The sequence below is a fragment of the Homo sapiens genome, chromosome 2, assembly GCF_000001405.40.
Source record: "Homo sapiens chromosome 2, GRCh38.p14 Primary Assembly".
Classification (NCBI taxonomy): domain Eukaryota; kingdom Metazoa; phylum Chordata; class Mammalia; order Primates; family Hominidae; genus Homo; species Homo sapiens.
In genome coordinates this window covers 225,696,711-225,719,240 of record NC_000002.12, presented here as the reverse complement: position 1 = coordinate 225,719,240, position 22,530 = coordinate 225,696,711, and the positions used below count along the sequence as shown (strand labels likewise).

General features: G+C 35.7%; 1 protein-coding gene and 1 long non-coding RNA gene across 7 annotated transcripts in view; one reads left to right on the top strand and one right to left on the bottom strand.

The window, feature by feature from the left end:
• LOC105373914 (uncharacterized) overlaps window positions 1-22,530 on the top strand; it is a 211,043-nt gene that overhangs the window by 172,351 nt on the left and 16,162 nt on the right. For 3 of the 4 annotated variants that reach the window (XR_007088109.1, XR_007088110.1, XR_007088111.1), the window contains one exon: window positions 2,460-2,526. The exons of the other annotated variant lie outside the window; for it this stretch is intronic. This is a non-coding gene — a long non-coding RNA (uncharacterized LOC105373914). The remainder of the gene's footprint in view (window positions 1-2,459; window positions 2,527-22,530) is intronic. 4 annotated transcript variants of the gene reach the window in all.
• Window positions 15,587-22,530, bottom strand: part of NYAP2 (neuronal tyrosine-phosphorylated phosphoinositide-3-kinase adaptor 2) — a 305,716-nt gene continuing 298,772 nt past the window's right edge. For all 3 annotated transcript variants that reach the window (XM_047445201.1, NM_001371273.1, XM_047445200.1), the window contains one exon: window positions 15,587-20,924. In XM_047445201.1, the coding sequence (XP_047301157.1) occupies window positions 20,697-20,924 (228 nt within the window). In that variant the 3' untranslated portion in view covers window positions 15,587-20,696. The remainder of the gene's footprint in view (window positions 20,925-22,530) is intronic.

The window sequence follows — 22,530 nt, the reverse complement described above, 5'->3', positions numbered from 1 at the left end:
CTGGTGGTGGCACTGTCTGCCTGGCCCCTGGATGAGAACACAAGGCAGAGCCCCAGCTGACCTGAGAGGACTCTGTGTGAGCAAGACATCACCTTTTGTTTTAAGCCACTGAGATTTTGGAGTTGTCTACTACTGCGACATACTCAAATACTTCTCAACTCATACCCAGTACTGATATACAATCGGTATTGTGGGCTAGTTTAATCATTTTCGTAATAGAATTATTGCTTCCAATTGTTCACGAATACAAAATAATGGCAATACACCCATTTATATTTATATTGTACAATTTTATACCCACAGGCAGATTTTTCTGTAGGCAATTTTGACAAATACTGCCAAACTGTCCTCTAAAAAGGTTGTAGTGACCGCACGTGGTTGTTCACACCTGCAATCCCAGCACTTTGGGAGGCTGAGGCCGGTGGATCACTTGAGGTCAGGAGTTGGAGATCAGCCTGGCCAACATGGTGAAATCCCATCTCTACTAAAAATACAAAAATTAGCCAGGCATCGTGGTGGGTGCCTGTAATCCCAGCTACTCAGAAGGCTGAGACAGGAGAATCAAATCGCTTGAATCCGGGAGGTGGAGGTTGCCGTGAGCTGAGATCGTGTCACTGCACTCCAGCCTAGGCAACAGAGTGAGACTCCATCTTAAAAAATATACAAAAATAAAAATAAAAAATAAAAGGTTGTAGCAATTTATTCTGTTAGAAATGGTCCACGCATGGGCAATATAGAGAGACCCTATCTCTACCAAAAATTTAAAACAAAAAATTTAGTCAGGTATAGTGCACACACCTGTGGTCCCAACTACTTGGGAGGCTGAGATGGGAGGATTGTTTGAACCCAAGAGGCTGAGGCTGCAGTGAGCCATGATCATGTCACTGCACTCCAGCCTAGGTCACGGAGTGACACCCTGTCTCTAAAAAACAAAACAAAAAAAAGAAATGGTCATGAGAATACGCATTAACTCATAGTGTAGCCAATATTAGATATGACCTATCAATCATGTTAATTTGTGCAGGATCTGATAATCTAGAAATATCTACCAGTGTTGTTTAGCTTGCATTTTCTGATTATTGATTTGACTATATTTTGTGTATTAGCTATTCGGGTCTACTCTGAATTGCATGTTTCTATTATTTTGCTTTTTCACATGGATATTTAGGGGCTCTTATGTGTTACACATTTTTACTTTGGGTATGTTGTAAATTTTGCAATTTTTTTTCTGGACTAACTTTTGCCTTTTCATTTGATTTGTGTGTATTTCATTGCACATAGTTTTTACTTTCGTAGAGTAAATTTATCAGTTTCTTGATATATATGGAATTTGAAATTTGTTGCATGTAAGAACTCTTTCCCCACTCAGCAAAGCATTATAAAATGTATTACATTCTATTATGACTTAAATTATTTATAAAATGCCATTATAGTTTTGAGGGGTATTTTATCTTTATTCCTCAATGTAACTGGAATTTATTTTAATAAAGTAGAGACCAAAATGAATTTTTGTTTGAATGAATAAGCAACTATTCCCACTATTTGTCGAATAATCTTTTTTCCCTGCTGACTTGAAATGCCACATGCATTCTGTGTTTATTCCATATATATATATATATATATATATATATATATATATATATATATATATGCACACACATACACACATATAGATATAGATATAATATACTTTGCTCTCTCTGACCTCTATTCTGTTATTTTTACCTCCCCTACTCTATTTTTTTGTGTCAATATGACACAATTTTAATTATTGGACTTTCATAGCATGTTTTAAAACCTATCAGGCCAATTTCTCCCCATTTGTTCATTTTCAATTTTGTATTGCCTATTCTCACACATTTTTAAATCTAGATGAATGTTAGAGTCAACTCATCAAGTTTGATACAGAATCTTGTTGGATGTTGAAATTTTAGATTAATGTGTGTGGTGGAGTCAAGGTGGTGCCACTCAGGTCCCCTTCAAGAAGACTGCAGCCCAGCTGCAGAGAGTGAGGGAAGCTGTTGGCTCCAGCTATCCACTCCCCAGGGCTGTTTCTACAGCTATTTCTGGAGCTGAGAAGTGTAAAAAATAGACCATTTGGACCCAATATAGGATCTTTCAGAGCTCCAGAGCTCCCTTCAGGGCCTCTTGAAAGGTTGGCCAAGACTTTGTGGGGCCTCCATCACTGTTCAGCTTCATCCTTGGCCGAGTGCCGTTCTTCACCTTTCCCTTCACATTTGCTGATCGCAGACAAAGACCTTGCATCCCAAATTCTGTCTCAGTGTCTGCTTCTGGAGGGCTGAATCTGTGGAAATTTGGAAAGCACTGATATATTTACATTATTGGCACTCAATGGCTAATGTGCGGATATTGTTCTTGAGAATAGTTCATCCTTAATCCTCATAAAACCAAGTCCCATGTAGCAAGTCTGTAATCACTGTTTGTTTATTAATTCCTAGAATGCACACCACCATGAGGGAAAACCAGCACAGTACCAGAAACGGAGTTCAAACAGATGTCAAGCTGGTAATATCACTGAATGAAGTGGGGCTTAGGAAGACAGTAGGGAGGGGGAGAGAGTAGAGCAAATGGGAGAGGATCTGCTTTGGGTACAGATGGGATACTCAGCTTTAGCCTTTCCCTGCCATGTGGACACTTGGGACCAGGGAGGTTCCTCCCCCAGTTTTATTTTTTCCGAGGGAATACTATATATCAATGTATTACCTACTATTTCTGGCTGCCTGATCAAGAATACGCACAAACATGTTTCCAACCATTTTTTTTCCTAGAAGGAATAAGGTTTCTGAAACAGAGAAAAAAATTGCTCTATTGAATATATATTAAAACTTAATTCATCTTTAACAATTTGCCTGTTTTCAAAGTCATGAACTATGAGATGACAATGTATTACCAAGGCCAAATGTCTGCTGCTAGGTTCACCGACTTTCTTTTTTTTTTAAATTTTATTATTATTATACTTTAAGTTTTAGGGTACATGTGCACAATGTGCAGATTTGTTACATATGTATACATATGCCATGTTGGTGTGCTGCACCCATTAACTCGTCATTTAGCATTAGGTATATCTCCTAATGCTATCCCTCCCCCCTCCCCCAACCCCACAACAATCCCCGGAGTGTGATGTTCCCCTTCCTATATCCATGTGTTCTCATTGTTCAATTCCCACCTATGAGTGAGAACACGCAGTGTTTGGTTTTTTGTCCTTGCGATAGTTTGCTGAGAATGGTTTCCAGTTTCATCCATGTCCCTACAAAGGACATGAACTCATCATTTTTTATGGCTGCATAGTATTCCATGGTGTATATGTGCCCCATTTTCTTAATCCAGTCTATCGTTGTTGGACGTCTGCATTGGTTCCAAGTCTTTGCTATTGTAAATAGTGCCACAATAAACATACATGTGCATGTGTCTTTACAGCAGCATGATTTATAGTCCTTGGGTATATACCCAGTAATGGGATGGCTGGGTCAAATGGTATTTCTAGTTCTAGATCCCTGAGGAATCGCCACACTGACTTCCACAAGGGTTGAACTAGTTTACACTCCCACCAACAGTGTAAAAGTGTTCCTATTTCTCCACATCCTCTCCAGCACCTGTTGTTTCCTGACTTTTTAATGATCGCCATTCTAACTGGTGTGAGATGGTATCTCATTGTGGTTTTGATTTGCATTTCACTGATGGCCAGTGATGATGAGCATTTTTTCATGTGTTTTTTGGCTGCATAAATGTCTTCTTTTGAGAAGTGTCTGTTCATATCCTTTGCCCACTTTTTAATGGGGTTGTTTGATTTTTTCTTGTAAATTTGTTTGAGTTCATTGTAGATTCTGGATATTAGCCCTTTGTCAGGTGAGTAGGTTACGAAAATTTTCTCCCATTTTGTAGGTTGCCTGTTCACTCTGATGGTAGCTTCTTTTGCTGTGCAGAAGCTCTTTAGTTTAATTAGATCCCATTTGTCAATTTTTGCTTTTGTTGCCATTGCTTTTGGTGTTTTAGACATGAAGCCCTTGCCCATGCCTATGTCCTGAATGGTAATGCCTAGGTTTTCTTCTAGGGTTTTTATGGTTTTAGGTCTAACATGTAAGTCTTTAATCCATCTTGAATTAATTTTTGTATAAGGTGTAAGGAAGGGATCCAGTTTCAGCTTTCTCCATATGGCTAGCCAGTTTTCCTGGCACCATTTATTAAATAGGGAATCCTTTCCCCGTTTCTTATTTTTGTCAGGTTTGTCAACGATCAGATGGTTGTAGATATGCAGCATTATTTCTGAGGGCTCTGTTCTGTTCCATTGATCTATATCTCTGTTTTGGTACCAGTACCATGCTGTTTTGGTTACTGTAGCCTTGCAGTGTAGTTTGAAGTCAGGTAGCGTGATGCCTCCGGCTTTGTTCTTTTGGCTTAGGATTGACTTGGTGATGCAGGCTCTTTTTTGGTTCCATATGAACTTTAAAGTAGTTTTTTCCAATTCTGTGAAGAAAGTCATTGGTAGCTTGATGGGGATGGCATTGAATCTATAAATTACCTTGGGCAGTATAGCCATTTTCATGATATTGATTCTACCTACCCATGAGCATGGAATGTTCTTCCATTTGTGTGTATCCTCTTTTATTTCATTGAGCAGTGGTTTGTAGTTCTCCTTGAAGAGGTCCTTCACATCCCTTGTAAGTTTGATTCCTAGGTATTTTATTCTCTTTGAAGCAATTGTGAATGGTAGTTCACTCATGATTTGGCTCTCTGTTTGTCTGTTATTGGTGTATAAGAATGCTTGTGATTTTTGTACATTGATTTTGTATCCTGAGACTTTGCTGAAGTTGCTTATCAGCTTAAAGAGATTTTGGGCTGAGACAATGGGGTTTTCTAGATATACAATCATGTCGTCTGCAAACGCGGACAATTTGTCTTCCTCTTTTCCTAATTGAATACCCTTTATTTCCTTCTCCTGCCTAATTGCCCTGGCCAGAACTTCCAACACTATGTTGAATAGGAGTGGTGAGAGAGGGCATCCCTGTCTTGTGCCAGTTTTCAAAGGGAATGCTTCCAGTTTTTGCCCATTCAGTATGATATTGGCTGTGGGTTTGTCATAGATAGCTCTTATTATTTTGAGATACGTCCCATCAATACCTAATTTATTGAGAGTTTTTAGCATGAAGGTTGTTGAATTTTGTCAAAGGCCTTTTCTGAATCTATTGAGATAATCATGTGGTTTTTGTCTTTTGTTCTGTTTATATGCTGGATTACATTTATTGATTTGCGTATGTTGAACCAGCCTTGCATCCCAGGGATGAAGCCCACTTGATCATGGTGGATAAGCTTTTTGATGTGCTGCTGGATTCAGTTTGCCAGTATTTTATTGAGGATTTTTGTATCAATGTTCATCAAGGATATTGGTCTAAAATTCTCTTTTTTTGTTGTGTCCCTGCCAGGCTTTGGTATCAGGATGATGCTGGCCTCATAAAATGAGTTAGGGAGGATTCCCTCTTTTTCTGTTGATTGGAATAGTTTCAGAAGGAATGGTGCCAGCTCCTCCTTGTACCTCTGGTAGAATTCGGCTGTGAATCCATCTGGTCCTGGACTTTTTTTGGTTGGTAAGCTATTGATTATTGCCACAATTTCAGAGCCTGTTTATTGGTCTATTCAGAGATTCAACTTCTTCCTGGTTTAGTCTTGGGAGGGTGTATGTGTCGAGGAATTTATCCATTTCTTCTAGATTTTCTACTTTATTTGCATAGAGTTGTTTGTAGTATTCTCTGATGGTAGTTTGTATTTCTGTGGGATCAGTGGTGATATCCCCTTTATCATTTTTTATTGCGTCTATTTGATTCTTCTCTCTTTTCTTCTTTATTAGTCTTGCTAGTGGTCTATCAATTTTGCTGATCTTTTCAAAAAACCAGCTCCTGGATTCATTAATTTTTTGAAGCGTTTTTTGTGTCTCTATTTCCTTCAATTCTGCTCTGATTTTAGTTATTTCTTGCCTTCTGCTAGCTTTTGAATGTGTTTGCTCTTGCTTTTCTAGTTCTTTTAATTGTGATGTTAGGGTGTCAATTTTGGATCTTTCCTGCTTTCTCTTGTGGGCATTTAGTGCTATAAATTTCCCTTTACACACTGCTTTGAATGTGTCCCAGAGATTCTGGTATGTTGTGTCTTTGTTCTCATTGGTTTCAAAGAACATCTTTATTTCTGCCTTCATTTAGTTATGTACCCAGTAGTCATTCAGCAGCAGGTTGTTCAGTTTCCATGTAGTTGAGCGGATTTGAGTGAGTTTCTTAATCCTGAGTTCTAGTTTGATTGCATTGTGGTCTGAGAGACAGTTTGTTATAATTTCTGTTCTTTTACATTTGCTGAGGAGTGCTTTACTTCCAAGTATGTGGTCAGTTTTGGAATAGGTGTGGTGTGGTGCTGAAAAAAATGTATATTCTGGAATAGAAGCTGATCAAAATGCATGTCCTCTGTGAGACACAGAACACATTTGAGCCAGGTTTTTGTCCCAAACCAAAAATGATGTGATTCCTCCTTCCCTAGGGAAGAATAGAGAAGCAAGTGAGAGAGAGGCCAAAAAGTTATTGGATGCCCCTTGCACAGAGAGAAACATTACACTGGAAAATAAGTTTTATGCATTGTATTAATGTGATTATACTATTTGATATTTTAGAAAATAATATGCTTAAACCCAGACGGTATCAGAACAGCTAACTTTCACATTCTGTATTTATGCATTATAAGTAGTAAAATATTTACAATATTTTATTTTATAAGAAAGAACAATAATTGTATAGTTCTTGGTATCATCATGGAGCCTTTTCTCCAGAAGAATACAAACTCTACTCTAATTTATTACTTATTCATTCATACATTTTTATCTGCTATAACCATTTATAATGTAAAGTGACAGAAAACAATGTTATTTCTTATAGAAAAATGGAAACAATACATATTTAGCTGTTTTACCATATTACTGCCTCCTATGGACCAAGCCAGTTATATTTGTTAGGGTGGGGGTTGAACGGTAGCTATGAACTGAATATTTGTGGCCCTCTGAAATGTATGTGCTGAGACCCTAGTTCCCAATGCAATGGAATTTGGTGATAGGGCCTTTGGGAGAAAACTACATCATGAGGGTGGGGCCTTCATAATAGGACCAGTGCCCTTATTAGAAGAAACACTAGAGAGCTGGCTTCCTCTCCCTTCCTCTCCACCTTCTGAGGGTATAACCAGAAAGAGGATCCTCACCAGGAGCTGAATCAGCAGGCAGCTTTGATCTTGGACTTCCCAGCCTCTAGAATGGTTAGGAATAGATTTCTGTTATTTAAGCCACCCAGTCTATGTTATCTTGTAGCAGCCTAGGCTGACAATGGTACAACAAATAGATTCACACATGTAACAAGTCAATATAATAGATTATTTTCCCTTTCTGTAAAAGTCCAGGGTAGCTCCAAGTGAAATAAATGTGCACAGATGGGGAAGAGGTAACTCAGTTTTATATACTGATGGAGAAACTAGTGGAAGGATACTATGCCATCTCCAGCATGCGTCTTCCTAAGTTGCCTAGTGTGGGAGTTGAGGGAGCCCACCCTAGTCAGCTTGGAGAGGTCAAAGTCACCACAGAGCACATCTAAGTAGCTTCCATAGCCTGGGCTGGCATGGATGCTCATCTTCTCTATTCACATTTTAAATTTAGTCAAGGGCCACATCCAAGTATGATTCTGGAAATGCAATTCAGTGATATACACAGAGAGAAGAGAAAAAATGAATTTTAAAAAAGGATTAGTCTCTGATCTCTTTCAGGTCTAAACTACTGCTACTCAGCCATTGTAATAACCATCTAGCAGATCAGTCCTGCAGTCTGCTCTCCCTAACCAGCCCCACCCTGAGGGCTGAGGCACACTATAGAACAGCATCCTGGTACAAACAGCATTCTTAGGAAGACTGGAAAATATTTTATTTAACCATAGCCATCTCCCTCTTTGTTGTGCTCATTCTCATCAAGTCTTCTACCTTTTCTGGATAGCAGACGACCTTGTATCTTTCTGTTTGGGGATAATTAAGAACATAGAACAGAAACTCACCTAATATTCTGCCTCATTCTCAATAAAATTCTTCATATCTTTACCCTTTGCTCTTTCTTTCCAACTTCAGATGATATAAGGCCATTCTTCCACCTCAAGACCAACTCTCTTACCTGTGTTCAGTTTTATAAAGTATCAAATGCATTAAATTTAATTTTATTTAATATTAACAAAAATCTTGAAAGTGAGGGGAATAAAATTGGAGAACTTGCCGAATTTCAAATGTCTTTTATTTAAAAGCAAAAGATTAAGAATACCCCAATAAAATATATACAGGATGTATTAAGACATCTAACAAGTAAGTAGGACCAAAATCTACCAATATTTATTTTGGCTCAAAAAGTTTATCACAAGTTTCAATGCTTTGCTGTCATCAATAGTAAAGTGACTATAAGATTTATAAAATGCAAATTTATATTATGGGGATAGTAGAAATAGTTTATAAAACTGTTTACAAAAATGAAAAACACAATGATAATCGTAAAGAAAATAAAAAGTGTATTGGTCAGAATTCAACTAGGAGGCAAAAACTACACAGTAATTTGAATGGGAAAAATTTGAAGTAAAGAGCTATTAACTCTAATAGAGAAAATCTAAAAAGCAGTAAAGAGAATCCTAAACATTTCCCTAGGGTTGGGGGAGATTGCTCAAAAGAGAAATACATATATGGAAGGTGAGAGTCCCTTCCTCAAGGCAGGGATCCAACCTCAGGAGACAAATGTGGTTGTGACCAACTGGATGGCAGAGATGTTTTCTAGGTTCCCTGGGACACACCTGGTTCATAGTCCCTAAAAAAGCAAAAAATATCTCTTTGGGGTTCCATTGAAATAAGATGGAGGTGCACACTACAAATGACTCATAAACATCCTGCTGGCAGCTGCACAATAAGAGTAAGAAGTAGGTGATAAAAAGAACCAGGAAGAGAGGACCTTCTTCCTGCAGTGTCGCTCTGTCACCCTCTGCTTACAAAGCTTAACATCATACCAGCTATATAGAAAAACTAATGTAAAGGGCCCAGCTAGATTTTCATACAGCAGGCAACGAAGGGCAACTTTTGGAGCTGAGGAGGTGTACATTGATCATTTTAAGTTATATTTAACTCTCTTTCTTACCTAGTCATTTCTGTGTGAACATATGTGCTTAACTTTCCAAGTAGATTAATTTCATCAATTCTCATAAATATTGCAGTAATCATATGGTAAAGGAAATGAGCATATTCAGGAAATGAGACTATTTTGGTGATGTATATAAGATGCTTAATATAGCCTTTGGACCTAAGGGTTTCCTAGATATCCAAATCATATTTCCCTGAAATGGTGGGTAAAATGGCTCTACTCTTTTAACTATACATATTCTCTTGTTTGTTTTCTTTTGTTTGAAGGGATGAGGGAAGGGCAGGCAGCTGAATTAGTCCATATTTTATGAGTTTTATTTTTTCTGATTTATTTTTCCCTTTGCAGTTTGTTTTAGTTTATGGAAATTATATCCCTTTGGATATCTATGAATATCTATGAGAATGAGAGGCAACTCCAAATTTTATGAGGACTGAAGCTTATATAGATGAAAGAGGGATGTTTTTAACCAAAAAATAAAATATGAAATTATGAATTATGTGAGCCACATGAAAATACCCTGCTAAAGTAAATGTATATCCAATCCAAGTTCTTCTTAGCCAAATCCCCAAAATTCCCATAGCCATTCCAGAGCCCCCAAAACAAGAAGTAGGATGGAAAGTAATTTAGAGTAGAAAAAGGTATCACTCTCAACTGACCATAGTCAAAATAGCCCTACTTTTACAAATTTTACCAAATCATATGACCACACACGAACACATTAGTAGGGTCTCTCCCCTCATCTTAGAGTAGTTTTAACATGTGTGTGACCATTAAATTTAAGCTTCATTAGTTTCACATTCAACCCACTTCTGGCAATCAATCTAACTGTAATTTATTAAACATCTTTTCCTTTACTTACCTATTTTATTTAATTTCCTTTTATTCATACTGTTAGTTTTCATCAAATGTTTGGTGATTCTTGGTCTTCTTCCCACACTTATTAATAAATGTGTTGATCAGTTAAGGGAGGGGTAATGAATATCCTCTTTAGTAGATCCATAAACTCTTAAACTTCACCTATGGCTTTGGTTTTTATAGATAAGTAAAATGTTTTCCACAGTGCCTGTATATAAACTCCACAGTGCCTACATAATCTGGCCCCTGCCTCTCTCCCTGACCTCATCTTTGTGATGACCTGTATGGTTCCCCAACACATCAAGTGTACTTTATCTCAGAAACTTTACAATTCCCCAGATATCTAAAATACTCCCTCAAGTATTTGCATAGTTGACTATTCATTGTTTGTATCCCATCTCACCTTCTTAGATCTAGTGAATGATGCATTGATAAAGCAGAAAGAAAAATCTATGAGAAGTCATCAGAAAATAAGGTGGCCAATCAATTTTTGGCCTTACTATTTCCTTGTACTAATTTTTCTTCATTTTTATGTCTTGACTTGTCTTACTTTCCTTTCTAAACCACTCTGATGAAGTTCTTCAGTGGTGTATTTTACAAAGTCCATATATTTATTTGAAAAGAGTCTACACATTCAAATAAAAATGATGTAAACTTCTTTCAAAGATTCCACCCAACAATATTTGATATGAATTACGTTTTCCAGAACTAGATAATCTTAATCTTATTTTTTAGCTTCATAACATCCCTACCCTTGTGTCTTTCCCCGGCAAACTTCATACCCTCATGTTGAAGTTTGTATTGCAGGCTACCCTCTCCTCATCTTCCAGTTTTTCAATCTCTACCTTGCTTATGACTGTTGCAATATTTGATGACAGAAACTTGCCTCTCTTGCATACAATCATTTGAATTTGAGACCTTTGAAGAGTGATCCTGGAGTCTGGGAGGAGGCAGGGGTTTCTAGGGACTTATATGTAAGATACTGGGTTGATAGGTTTCAGTAAACAACAGCGGGATGGTTTGGAACTTGGACAATGTAATTGGCGTTTGAAGGCTATGAGAAGTCAAGAAAATTTTAGAGTAGAACAAACATGTGAATTCTAGTTTCAGAAAAAGTCTAGAGGATCCTCAGGCAAGCAGACCATTTTGAGAGAATTATATTCGTGGCTATCTAATGATCTCTAAAGTGGTTTCAGGCCTCTGTGTCATTTTCTTCATAGTCTTCCTATTGCAAAGGAAAAGCATATGTTTACCAAGGAAGCAGTAAGTCTGTGTGTGTAACCTCTGACAAACAGGTGTCAAACCCCAAGGGAATGAGGAGAATGGGCAAAATAATGCCTCTACTAGCACTGTATAATCTTCTAGTCTCAGAGCAGGCTCCTTGCAGCCGTTTGAATACTTACGAGTTTTGCCACATCTGAGTAGCACTTGAACATCATACCTTATAGTCCTTAAGGTGAAGGTTGGGTTAAGTTGATGCTACCAACTTCAACATTGATATAAATAATTATGTCCATTATATAAGCTCAAAGATAAGTGAGGTTGCCGTCTTTTATTCATGACCATAGCCTGATTACTGATCACCATGGCTGGTATTACAACAAGTATTCAAGAAATATTTATTCAGTGAATGAAATAAAGTAGTTTAATATGTTAACTTTATATTTATGTAAAAAATTCTTAACTATTAAAATTAAAAAGTGTGGATTTTTTTATATTGAAGTGTTATGAGTAACACCTTTCAAGGACCCTTGTGAGAAAATATTGCTAGAGCATTGAGGCACAAGTGCCCAGCGGGATGGGACATTTTAACTTACTACCAAGTCTCTCTCTTTCTTTTTTCCCTTTCCTTAATAAACGTGATATCATATGGTATATTCACAAAGAAAGACAAAAAAATTTAGATTAATGCATTCTTTAAAACCAAATACCTCCAGAAGGCAGCAATAGTTACCCTAAGGAAAATCAACAAGCAGAATCAATTTAAAAGCCAGCTTACTATTTCACCCTAGCAAACTGATTTGTTCTTCATTGAAACCAGCTAGAAGATCGATAAGAAATTATTAAGGACTAAGATTTTAGCAAGCATAAAGTCCTCTACACTGATCTGTAGTACCTATGAAGTTTGTTGTATTGTAGAGAAAAATACTGCTTTTTCAGTGACGAGTATATATACCTAAGTTAGATGGGTCACTTCCATTCAGGCTACATGGAACTGCATAGTGATTAAAATGTCTTTGAGTATCTGTATATGATGAATAGCAAACTAATACAAATTAATTTAAATGAGAGTCTATGTTACATTGGTTTGGTTTTTGATTCAGATAAGCCTGGTTTGAATTTCCACAATCAATTACTATTGTGTATTAGTTTGGGAAAGTTTTCTAAACCTCAGCATCTTTACCCAGAAAATGAACATATTCATAGGGTTGAGGTAAGAATTTGAAAAGATGTCTTAAAAACTTAGTTCAGTGTTTTGCATAAAGTAAGAAATAAATTGTAGCGGTCTTACTATTGTTATTATTAGTCTTACTATTAAAATGAATTATAAACCCATAAGTAGTGACACTTAGGGTATCATTGTATGCATTTTGTGAACTAAAATTATTCCTGATTGGTTTTATCTCATGCTCTAACTTGTGTTTCATTCTCGTTAAAATTCTCACACATTTCTAATGTATGTCACCTTGCTATATTTGCACATTAATTACAATTGCTTTATTTGGATAAAAAGCGGAGTTTAAATAAATATATAGATATAAAACTTCCTAAATAATACTCACATGTATATATAACAATTCTGGTGTATAAAGTGTCACAGGATCTCACCCAATATTTGTTTCATATAATGAGAGAGAAGAGCAGAAAATATAACCTCAAAAGAATATATAAATCAACTAGCATCAAAGCTTTACCAGTATACTGAGTTTTACCTTTTATGCCCAGAACAGTGCTTGGTATACAGGTGGACTTCAGTTAGTATTTGTTGAATAAATACATAAATTAAATAAATGAACATTTTCTAATAGTTTTAAGTGCAGAGCAATTGGCCAGGCACTTTGTAGAATACAAGATTTATAGCAAATAAATGTAGCTTCTCTTTCTGGAACTCACCATGTAAGTAGAGAAGACAAATTCCCAAAGAAATAACTATTATAAGACAGATGGCATTGTAATGAAAACCCGAGCACAATACTGTGTATCAAGGTAGTGGGGGAGGGTGCTTGAAGGGTGTACATTAATTCCAACTGGGGAAAAACATAACACAATCCTAATACTATTATCAACAGTTCAGAGCCCTTGACACTAATTTCTAAGCAATATGTAGAATAATTTTAATATAAGCCTGATCTCATGAAAAATATTGGCCTCCTAAAATGGGAGATGGGTACCAATCACAAGGAGTTGATTTAACCAAAAGCTGGGACTTTTTTTTCACACCACTCTTTACCCTGAAGTACCTGAAAGTCATTTTGATGAGGAGGGTTATGAGGTGGTGCATTCTTGAGTTTGGCCCTGTGGATGAAATGTTATTTCTGGGGGAAATGATGCAATTTCCAATGTATGGGACAGAGTTGATTCTCTAATATAGCTGTCTCAGTACCAACTTCATATTCTAATCCCCTAGGGGGTTCTGAGAAAGAAAGAAGAAAAGAGAAAAAGGTGGAGGAGAAAAAGAAGAAAAAGTTGTCTAGCCCTAACCCCAGACTAATAAAATCATAATCTCTGAGAGAGGGGCCCAGATATTGGCATTAGATAAAAATCTCCCAAGAATGTAATGTGTTGCCATGACTGAAAGCCACATTGGTCTAAGACAATGCATCTCAAACTTTGCTGGGCATAAGAATCACCTGTATGGCTTGCTGAAACAGGATCCATGAGCCTCAGCCCTAAAGTTCTATCTGGCATAAAGGTGAAGGTTTTTCATTCTAACAAGTCCCAAGATAATGCTGTGCTGTTGGTCTCTGAAGTAGGCTCTGAGTGGCAGTGCTCTAGGCAATGGCTACCAAGGCTCCCTAAGTATAGGCAGAGCAGCGAGTTGCCAAAGAGTTGCTGCTCAAAGGGTGATCTATGGACAGGCAGCATCAGCATCTCCTGAGATCTTGCTTCAGATTCCAACTCTCAAACTCTTCTAAATCAGAATCTATATGCCAACAAGATCCTCAGGTGATAAAGCATGTACATTCAAGTTTGAGAAGTACATTCAAGTTTGAGAAGTTTGCTTTAATACTCAAATTTGATTCCATATTGGACTGATCTAGATTTTTTTAAAACTGCCAGCACCTGTGTACTGCTCTAGGCAGCCTTCTGGACATTGGGAGTTTTTAAGAACTAAGTGAGGTTTTTTTTTTTTTTTTTTTTTTTTTTTTTTTTTTTGCACAGCAAGGTTTGAGAGAACCACCACTCTACAAGACATGAGGTGAGATGATATTATGCAAAATTTTCTCTAAAGTTATTTTCTTCCGATCTCCTGGTTTGTTACATTGCCCGACATTCTAATATTCACTCATGCATGTTAGTAAGAATCTTCTCAAATACAAATCACTATAGGATGAACATTGTTTTATCAGTCATTCACATCATTGTGTCAACATAATTTAATTAGAATCTGAGATCACAGAGATGGAAAAAATGATTTGTAATGGCGGTTGGGAGAATGGAAGAAACCAATAATTTCAAATATTGGGGAGCTTTTTTTTTCATGGGCTGAGATGGATGAAAGGTTGGACTGTTGATGGTGGTGGGGTGGTGATAGGTTAGTTTTTGTTCAAACAAAAGGTAGAGTAGCACACTGAGCATTTGAGTAGCTGGAAGGGTGGGACAAAACAGTGATAATAAATTTCTTTCTTTTTATGAAATGAACATGGAAATAATTGGTGAGAAATTATGACGTTATAATTAATTATGTTGAGATTGGATATAAAAGAGAGTATGTAAGCGGTTGATGAAGTAGCCATTAGAAACTATTAGAAGTCTCTACATTATTTTACAGGCATTTTTTGTAAACTGACTGAGCTCCAGAATCTTGTCATATATTTACCATGCTCGATGACATTTTAGATATTGATATCCTAGCAACACTGTACATACTGACTTGCTCCTTATTTAAGCCAGGTTAACTCTAAAAGTATGACTGAATAAATGAATGTGCTAAGTAGCACCCCTCGAATAAATACCTTGTCTACATACACAGGTCTAGGATTGCCAGAATTTTCTCTTTCATGCCACCAGCACACCTTAGATACACTCTGAGTCATTTAACTGGAATTAGGTACATATGGAAGAAAGAGAAGTGTCAATGTTCCTCTTACTTAATGGATCACCTTGAGGGAGAAGCCAAGCAGTGATTAAGGGCAACTGGGGGGTCACAGAACAAATTAGAAAGTCTAGACCCTCAATACTCACCAGCATCAGGCTTCTACAATACATGCAATCTCATGGTCAACTGCAGAAATTGAAAAATGTTGTATTTTTCTTTGAAAAAGTTCTTATTTTGTTTCTTGATAAATAAATACCAGTAACGACAAAGTCAACTAATTTAAACTATTGCTTTTATTATAATTACACGGGAGCACAAATAAATAATCACAAAAAGTATTGTAAAATATTGTCAATGCACTAAAGAAAACAATTTATTTTCAAACAACATCTGGTTACTTTAGTAGTATCAAAGTACATTTATAATTACATGTTACCTAAAAAAATCAAGTACAAAAATTAAGAGACATTAAAACATCAGTGTTTATATTATTATATATATAGAAATGGCTAATAACACATGAGTAGAGAAATCTGTTATCTAATGCTTATTTGCACAAATTTTCAGGCACATACCTGACATTTCTAATGAATTATGAAAAATGCAATATGACATTCAAATTTTTAGATATGGTAAACATGTTATATTGGAATGGATGTTAAATGGTTTTCTTTAAAAACCCTGTCTTTTAAAAATGTAGTGCCGTTATCCACTAAAAAACATATTATTTTTATATCATCTTCTCATAGCTATTTGTTTCAATTGTCTGAAAGAGCAAGAAAGTAAACATACAACTGCTAAATACGTAAACACATTTTTAGTGCAAGATAACAAGACCTGTGACTTTACTGTGCTTTGTTTTTTATAATCACAGTGCACTTTACACAAGTTGCTACACTATAAATGTTAACTTAAGGAGTTCCAATCAAAAGAAGTGCATACTAAACATTTTCATATATATTATATACAGTATGTATACTGTACGTGGGTGTATACATGTGTAAATGTAGATGCTTTTAGGGTGGGCAAACCCAGTTATATTTGGGAACAATTGAACACTTCAAAAGAATTTTCATGTTTGGTTGAGACAAATCCAACAGCATTTCTTTAAAAAAATTCCCCTTAAATTTGAAACTTCATAATATTTAAAGGGAAATATAATAAGACATTTTTTCCATATTACACACATTTTGCTGCAATGTAATTGACCCAAATATCAAAGAGTTTTAAATCATCCAAACCCCAAGTCACAATGTTCAAGTCCAACATGGCAAAATGTGTTACCCTTTTAATGATTTACATAGACAGCAGTACATATTATATATGCACACATCGAGGCTTACACATAAACATATTCTATACTTAGACATTAAGTTTAGTATGTTTAGAATTTTACCTTGACTATACACTTGATCTGAAAAAAAAGAGAATGCCATATGTAAACACAATTGTATATCTTCTTAAAAACAATTGGCTTTATTTTGAAAATATTGATGATTGCATAATTAAGCTCCTTGAAGGATGGGACAACATCTTTTTCAATGTTTAACACCAAGTGCTTTAGAATTTTTAAATGCCTGATACATAAGTTTGCTCAATAATCAACTGTTAAATAACAGATTAGTAAAAAATGGTCCACATTCTACAATTAGCTGTCTATTTTGTATACATGGAAGATGTAGTGACATAATGTTAAATGCTATAGGTACCATTTTTCTTTTATTTCCACTTAAGTTTGGGACACAATGAATTGTGAATTGCTATCTATTCTACTTCTATTTCTTTGCAAGTGTGAATTCCCTCTCATCTCGGATAACTTACTGCTTAAATCGTAGGAATTGTTTCTTAATTTCACATGTGAGTGTAGTTATTTTACAAGCTCTTTTCTACTTGTCTTAACATGGAAGTGATATTAAAATTGCATTTGTACGTGCATTGTGTTGATGTCTTATTTTATTAGTTAAAATAATAACCCAATGGCTTTAGTTTTATTGACGTAGTCACTAGATTTGCTCAAAAGAATCAAACTAAATTCCATGTATAGGCAAGACCTACCAACAAAATGTAGTAATAAAAACATTCTTTTATTCTCTAGAAGCATTCAAAGAAAATTTTGTCACTACTTTGGAAAGTAAAGTTGTATCTAGTTGTCTCCAGACAATTGGCATGTATTTGAATATATAATACTTTAAAACTACAAATTTAAATCTCCGGACGTTTTGTTTTACTTTTCTAATTATTTTACATGGGTGAGTATTAACCTTCATTTACATAAATCCATCACATTTGGCGCCAAGCTTGCTTCAGTAGCATAAACATGGGAGAGATGTGAGCGGTGTTTATGTAATAGACTACTCTTATACCTCAGAGGATGCTGGCTTCTGCGATTGAAATAAATGCAGATTTTTATATTTTCTTTTCATCAATTCTAAAGAAATTTATATCTTCTCTGCTAAGGAGTGTTTCACATATAAAAGCATCTTGTGACATCCAATAAAATTCTGTTTCTATGAAATTTGCTGTGAAAGGACCATTTTTCATAAGTATGAGCTCTTTCAACCTGATAACCAGGCCATGATATGATTTGTTCTTTGGCACTGCTAGAAATATGAGCTTTATCATGGCATAGTGTTCTGGCTATCTGTAGGCTATATTCTGACCAAATTAATATATTGAAGTATCCCAGTTGATTACTTTCAGAGAGTCAGCTTATTTTTCTCTACATACTAATGATCTCCTTTTCTCCATTTAGAGAAACACTACACAAAAAGGAAATTGATCATGGAATGATTATTGCCACAGTGGACAATCGTATAGGCACAGAATAACAGTTCTTGAGTCAAATCTCAGTGAAGCCACTTTTCCAGATCTTTCAGTCACTTTCCACTTAAGTAGAGATTTGCGGAAATAAATGAAAATGGTTGCCTAAGGTCAAATTTTCAAACAAGTTACCGCCTCAGAAAATAATGCATTTGAAAAAGGAGTGCATGAAACCTGGCCCTAGCATAAGTTTGATAGAACAAACAGGAATGGTTTAATCCAACACAGATCATTTTAGTACTTTTGTTTCCTTCTTGACAAATGGCCAACATTAAATAAACTTTCTGCCTAAATCAGAGTGATATGGGAAAGATACGCATCTGAAAAACACACTTGCATCTCCCCACAGAAAGATGTTCCCTAAATATAAATTTTAAGGGAGGGTTAATCATCACCATACTGAGCCTGAATATATACGTAATCATAGACATGCTGAGAATTAGTATCTTGTGTCTGACTGATAGGCTTGAGTATATGTGGTCATAATAACTTAAATCAGGATAACAACTTGGGTCATAAACACATTTTATTTCCATTCTGATTTTATCTAAACACATTTTCATCACCCTTAGATTTGTGCTTCATAGATTATTTGGTTTGAAACATAATCTATAGCTGGTGAAACATGCTGGCGGGTTTTATTTAAGCTACTTAAGATCCCTTCCTAATTTCCTGCATTTGTGATCCCGGTTTTCTACCACCTCAATTATACAAGCAGAACCTGCAACTTCAGTAAGCGTTTTATGTATACAGTTCTCCCACTGAGTATTCGTTCATGTACACACACACTCACACACACACACATGCACGCACGCTCACAGACACACCAACCATACACTGCTCCCACTTACCTTTTTCCTTATTTTTTCAGAATTTGAATTGGACATCAAAATACACATTAATTATAAAACATTAGAAAATCATGTTATAACATTGAAAAGGCTTTTGAAAGAAACTATTACTGATAAAGCATTACTAGGTTTGTAGCAATATAGATTACAAAGATTCTCTAACTCCTGTTATATTTGGTTTTATTGAGCAGCACTGAACTATTGCTGTCAATACCCTTACAAGAAAAACTGCTATAACAATAACTTCAAAAACACATCTTTTCTCTCAGAAATATAATACTAAATTGATTGTTAACAAAGAACCACATACTATCAATTTTAGGAGGCATAAATAGTAATTTAAATATACAAAATATATGCGATAGTTTCTTTTTTATTCATTCGTGGCAATATTTATATTCAACTAACAAGTTCTTCTTAAAAGATATATATGATTTTTTTAACTTAAATTTCACCACTACATAAAATTGAATCCACCCCATCCCTCATCCCCTGCATTTCCTGTCTCTTTCTTGAAACAAAATGAAATGAAACATGATCATAATTCTTTGGTCATGGTGTCATAATCAGTAAGAATGGGTGTGATGATCACATACAGAAGATTATGACCCAGAAATGTGGTGATAACCAGTTTGAAAAAATTAACAAGAAATACATATTTTATTAATAGATCTAAACTTTTAGAAAGATTGGCATTTAGTGTATTAAAATATGTAAACTGGTCTAGTTGAATGTTTATTTCTCATTTTCTTGGGGAAACAAGCATACACATGAAAAGTTACTTAAATATAGTGATTATGGTGGCTACAATGCCACTGGTCCCACTTTCTTGAAAGCAGTCATGCTCTTGAGCTATTAATTCCTTGTTCCTTCCATTGTCACAGTGAACCCTGGTCTCCTCCAATCAGATCAATGATGCAAGGACACATGTCCCTAAAGTCATTTCTGAAGGAAATGTTTTCTGCTGGGATGTCCAATATATCCTAGTAACTTTCTCTGGAGTCTGACTAACCATTGCTTAGTTATTACTAAGTCAGACTAATGGTTAGCCTAACCATTGCCAGAGGATGCTAAAGAGAAATTCTTATAAAGCCAATGTAGCAAAAATATTGTTGTCAATGTAACTTGGACGTCCAAATTAAGCATCACATTTGCATTCATTTCCTGTCAAACCCTTGAAACTTAAAAAGCACAGATGCTCTTAACAAATATGATATTCAACTTCTACGTTACTAGCACCAGATCATATATTACGTGATTGAACATGATTTATAGTTGTGAGCTCTTGTACAGAAACCAAATGTGGGCAAGGGAAAAAAAACATTTTAAATGCAAAAATTAATAATAAAAGGCATCAAGGGATTACATATAAAAGAGATAACAAACCAGTTAATACTGAAATTATATCATATAGTAAACTCTTGATATTTCTGTAATTTATATACGTATAATGTGTATTATTTCAGATGTCACCCATAAACTAGTAAAATATTTACATTTTAATATCTTCTGGATTCAAAATAATCCGGGATAAATAAGTGTGCCTTCATTGCAAGGACATATGCATTTTATCTTGAACTTGCCACGAATAGGCACAGCTTCCCGTGGCATTCCACTCCCACAGAAAAGATATGTAACAGTTCATTATCATATGACCGAGTCGACCTCCCTCTTCATATTAAGAAATGTAGAGCTCACACCATCCTGCACACACTCATATGGCAGTATCCCAGAATACCGTTTGCTGTTTAGAATACGGTGGAGGGCTGTACTTCTTGGCACCTGCATTCTTCTTCCAGCTGGGCAAGATAGGCATGCTATCCTGTTTGCAAAGGCCCTTTTCCGTTTTCTGTCTAGCCTTTATTTCCTTGCACAAGCAACGCTTTTTCTCAATCATCTCAAGCATTGTATGGTCTCCATGAAACCACTGCATGCATGCCACCTAGCAAAAAAGAAAGAGTGAATACAGAAGAAAAAAATGGAATGAAAGCATATTTCTTTTGCACTGTGCTAGTAGTTTCTTAGAACAATGTCAGCTGTTTCTATATCTCTTCTAAAATTCTTTTTAGTTTTGTCTTGTTTTAGACAAGGTCTCACCCTCACCCAGGCTAAGAATACGATGATGCAATCACAGCTCACAGCAGCCTCAACCTCCTGGGCTCAAGTGATCCTCCCACCTCAGTCTCCCCAGTAGTTGGGACTACAAGCATATACCACCATGCCCAGCTAATTTTTTAAAAAAAATTTTGGTAGAGATGAGGTCTCTCTATATTGCCCAGTGTGGTCTCAAACTCATGGGTTCAAGCAATTCTCCCGCCTCAGCCTCCCAAAGTGCTGGGACTACAGATGTGAGCTACTATGCCCAGTCCAAAAACTCTGAAGATAAATTAAGAAATAATTCTTACAAAACAAAAATAAAAGAATGGAAACTATAAACAAATTTTGTACTTAAATTAGTAAACATCGCGATATTTAACAATTTGGGCATGAATATTTTTCAATATGTTCTGAAAGTTCATGATATGAAAATTAAATCTTTTACACTTTTAAGCAATTTTCCAAATATTTACCTGTAACTTTATGTTGGCTCCATTGTCTTATTTGTGCCCATATTTTTAAATTCAATTATTGGAATTACTTTTCAGTGAGGTCTAATATTAATGTGATATGTTTTAAAGATTTGAATGAATGTTTTTTTATTCTTGAAATAATTTTAAACAGGTTTATTTATAAACAGAATGTAGTAGAATATTTTTAATAATTCATCTCATCAAAATGATTTTAAGTGCACACCATATGCTTAGAATGTAAATGCTTAAATATTTCTTCTGCTAAGAAGTTTTTGCTATAGTTTTTGATGCTTCGGCAAATGTCTACATTAGAACCATTGGTCCCTGTAGTCAGACTGACAAGGATTCTAATCAACTTCAAAAATTTAGAAAAATGGATTCATGAGGTCAGTTTGGTTACCAGAAGAAAGCTCGGTGTGGACTATATATTGATACATACATACACATATGTACATATTACTGGACAAGTAACCACTGCTTCCAGGTATATGTGGCACCATGTCTACCAGTAACTGTTCTTTGGAACAGAGCTAGCATGTTGCGTCTGTCACACAAGGGCGGCAATAAAATTGGGCCCATGAGCTCAGCTAGGTTGTGGAAGCTTCCACATAATTGTTTAAACAAATCTACTGTATGACTTGAAGCATTAAAATAGTGCACTTGAAGTCATTGAACTTGCTGTTACAATTTTAGGGTGATAATTAGAGCAAATACTTACATAATGCTTACTCTATAGCAGATTTCATTCTAAGTACTTTGCATAGTTTAATTCATTTATTCCTCATCAAAATGCCCTGAAGTTGTACTATTTATTAACCCATAGTGATGAATAAAATGAGAGTTAAAGTGATTTGGTAACTCTCCCAAAGTTACAGAGCCAACAAATGGCAGAGTCAAGATTTGAACCCAAGAGTTTATGCCCAACACCCATGCTTTTAACAACTACACTATGCTGCCTCTCAATGTATGTATACACAG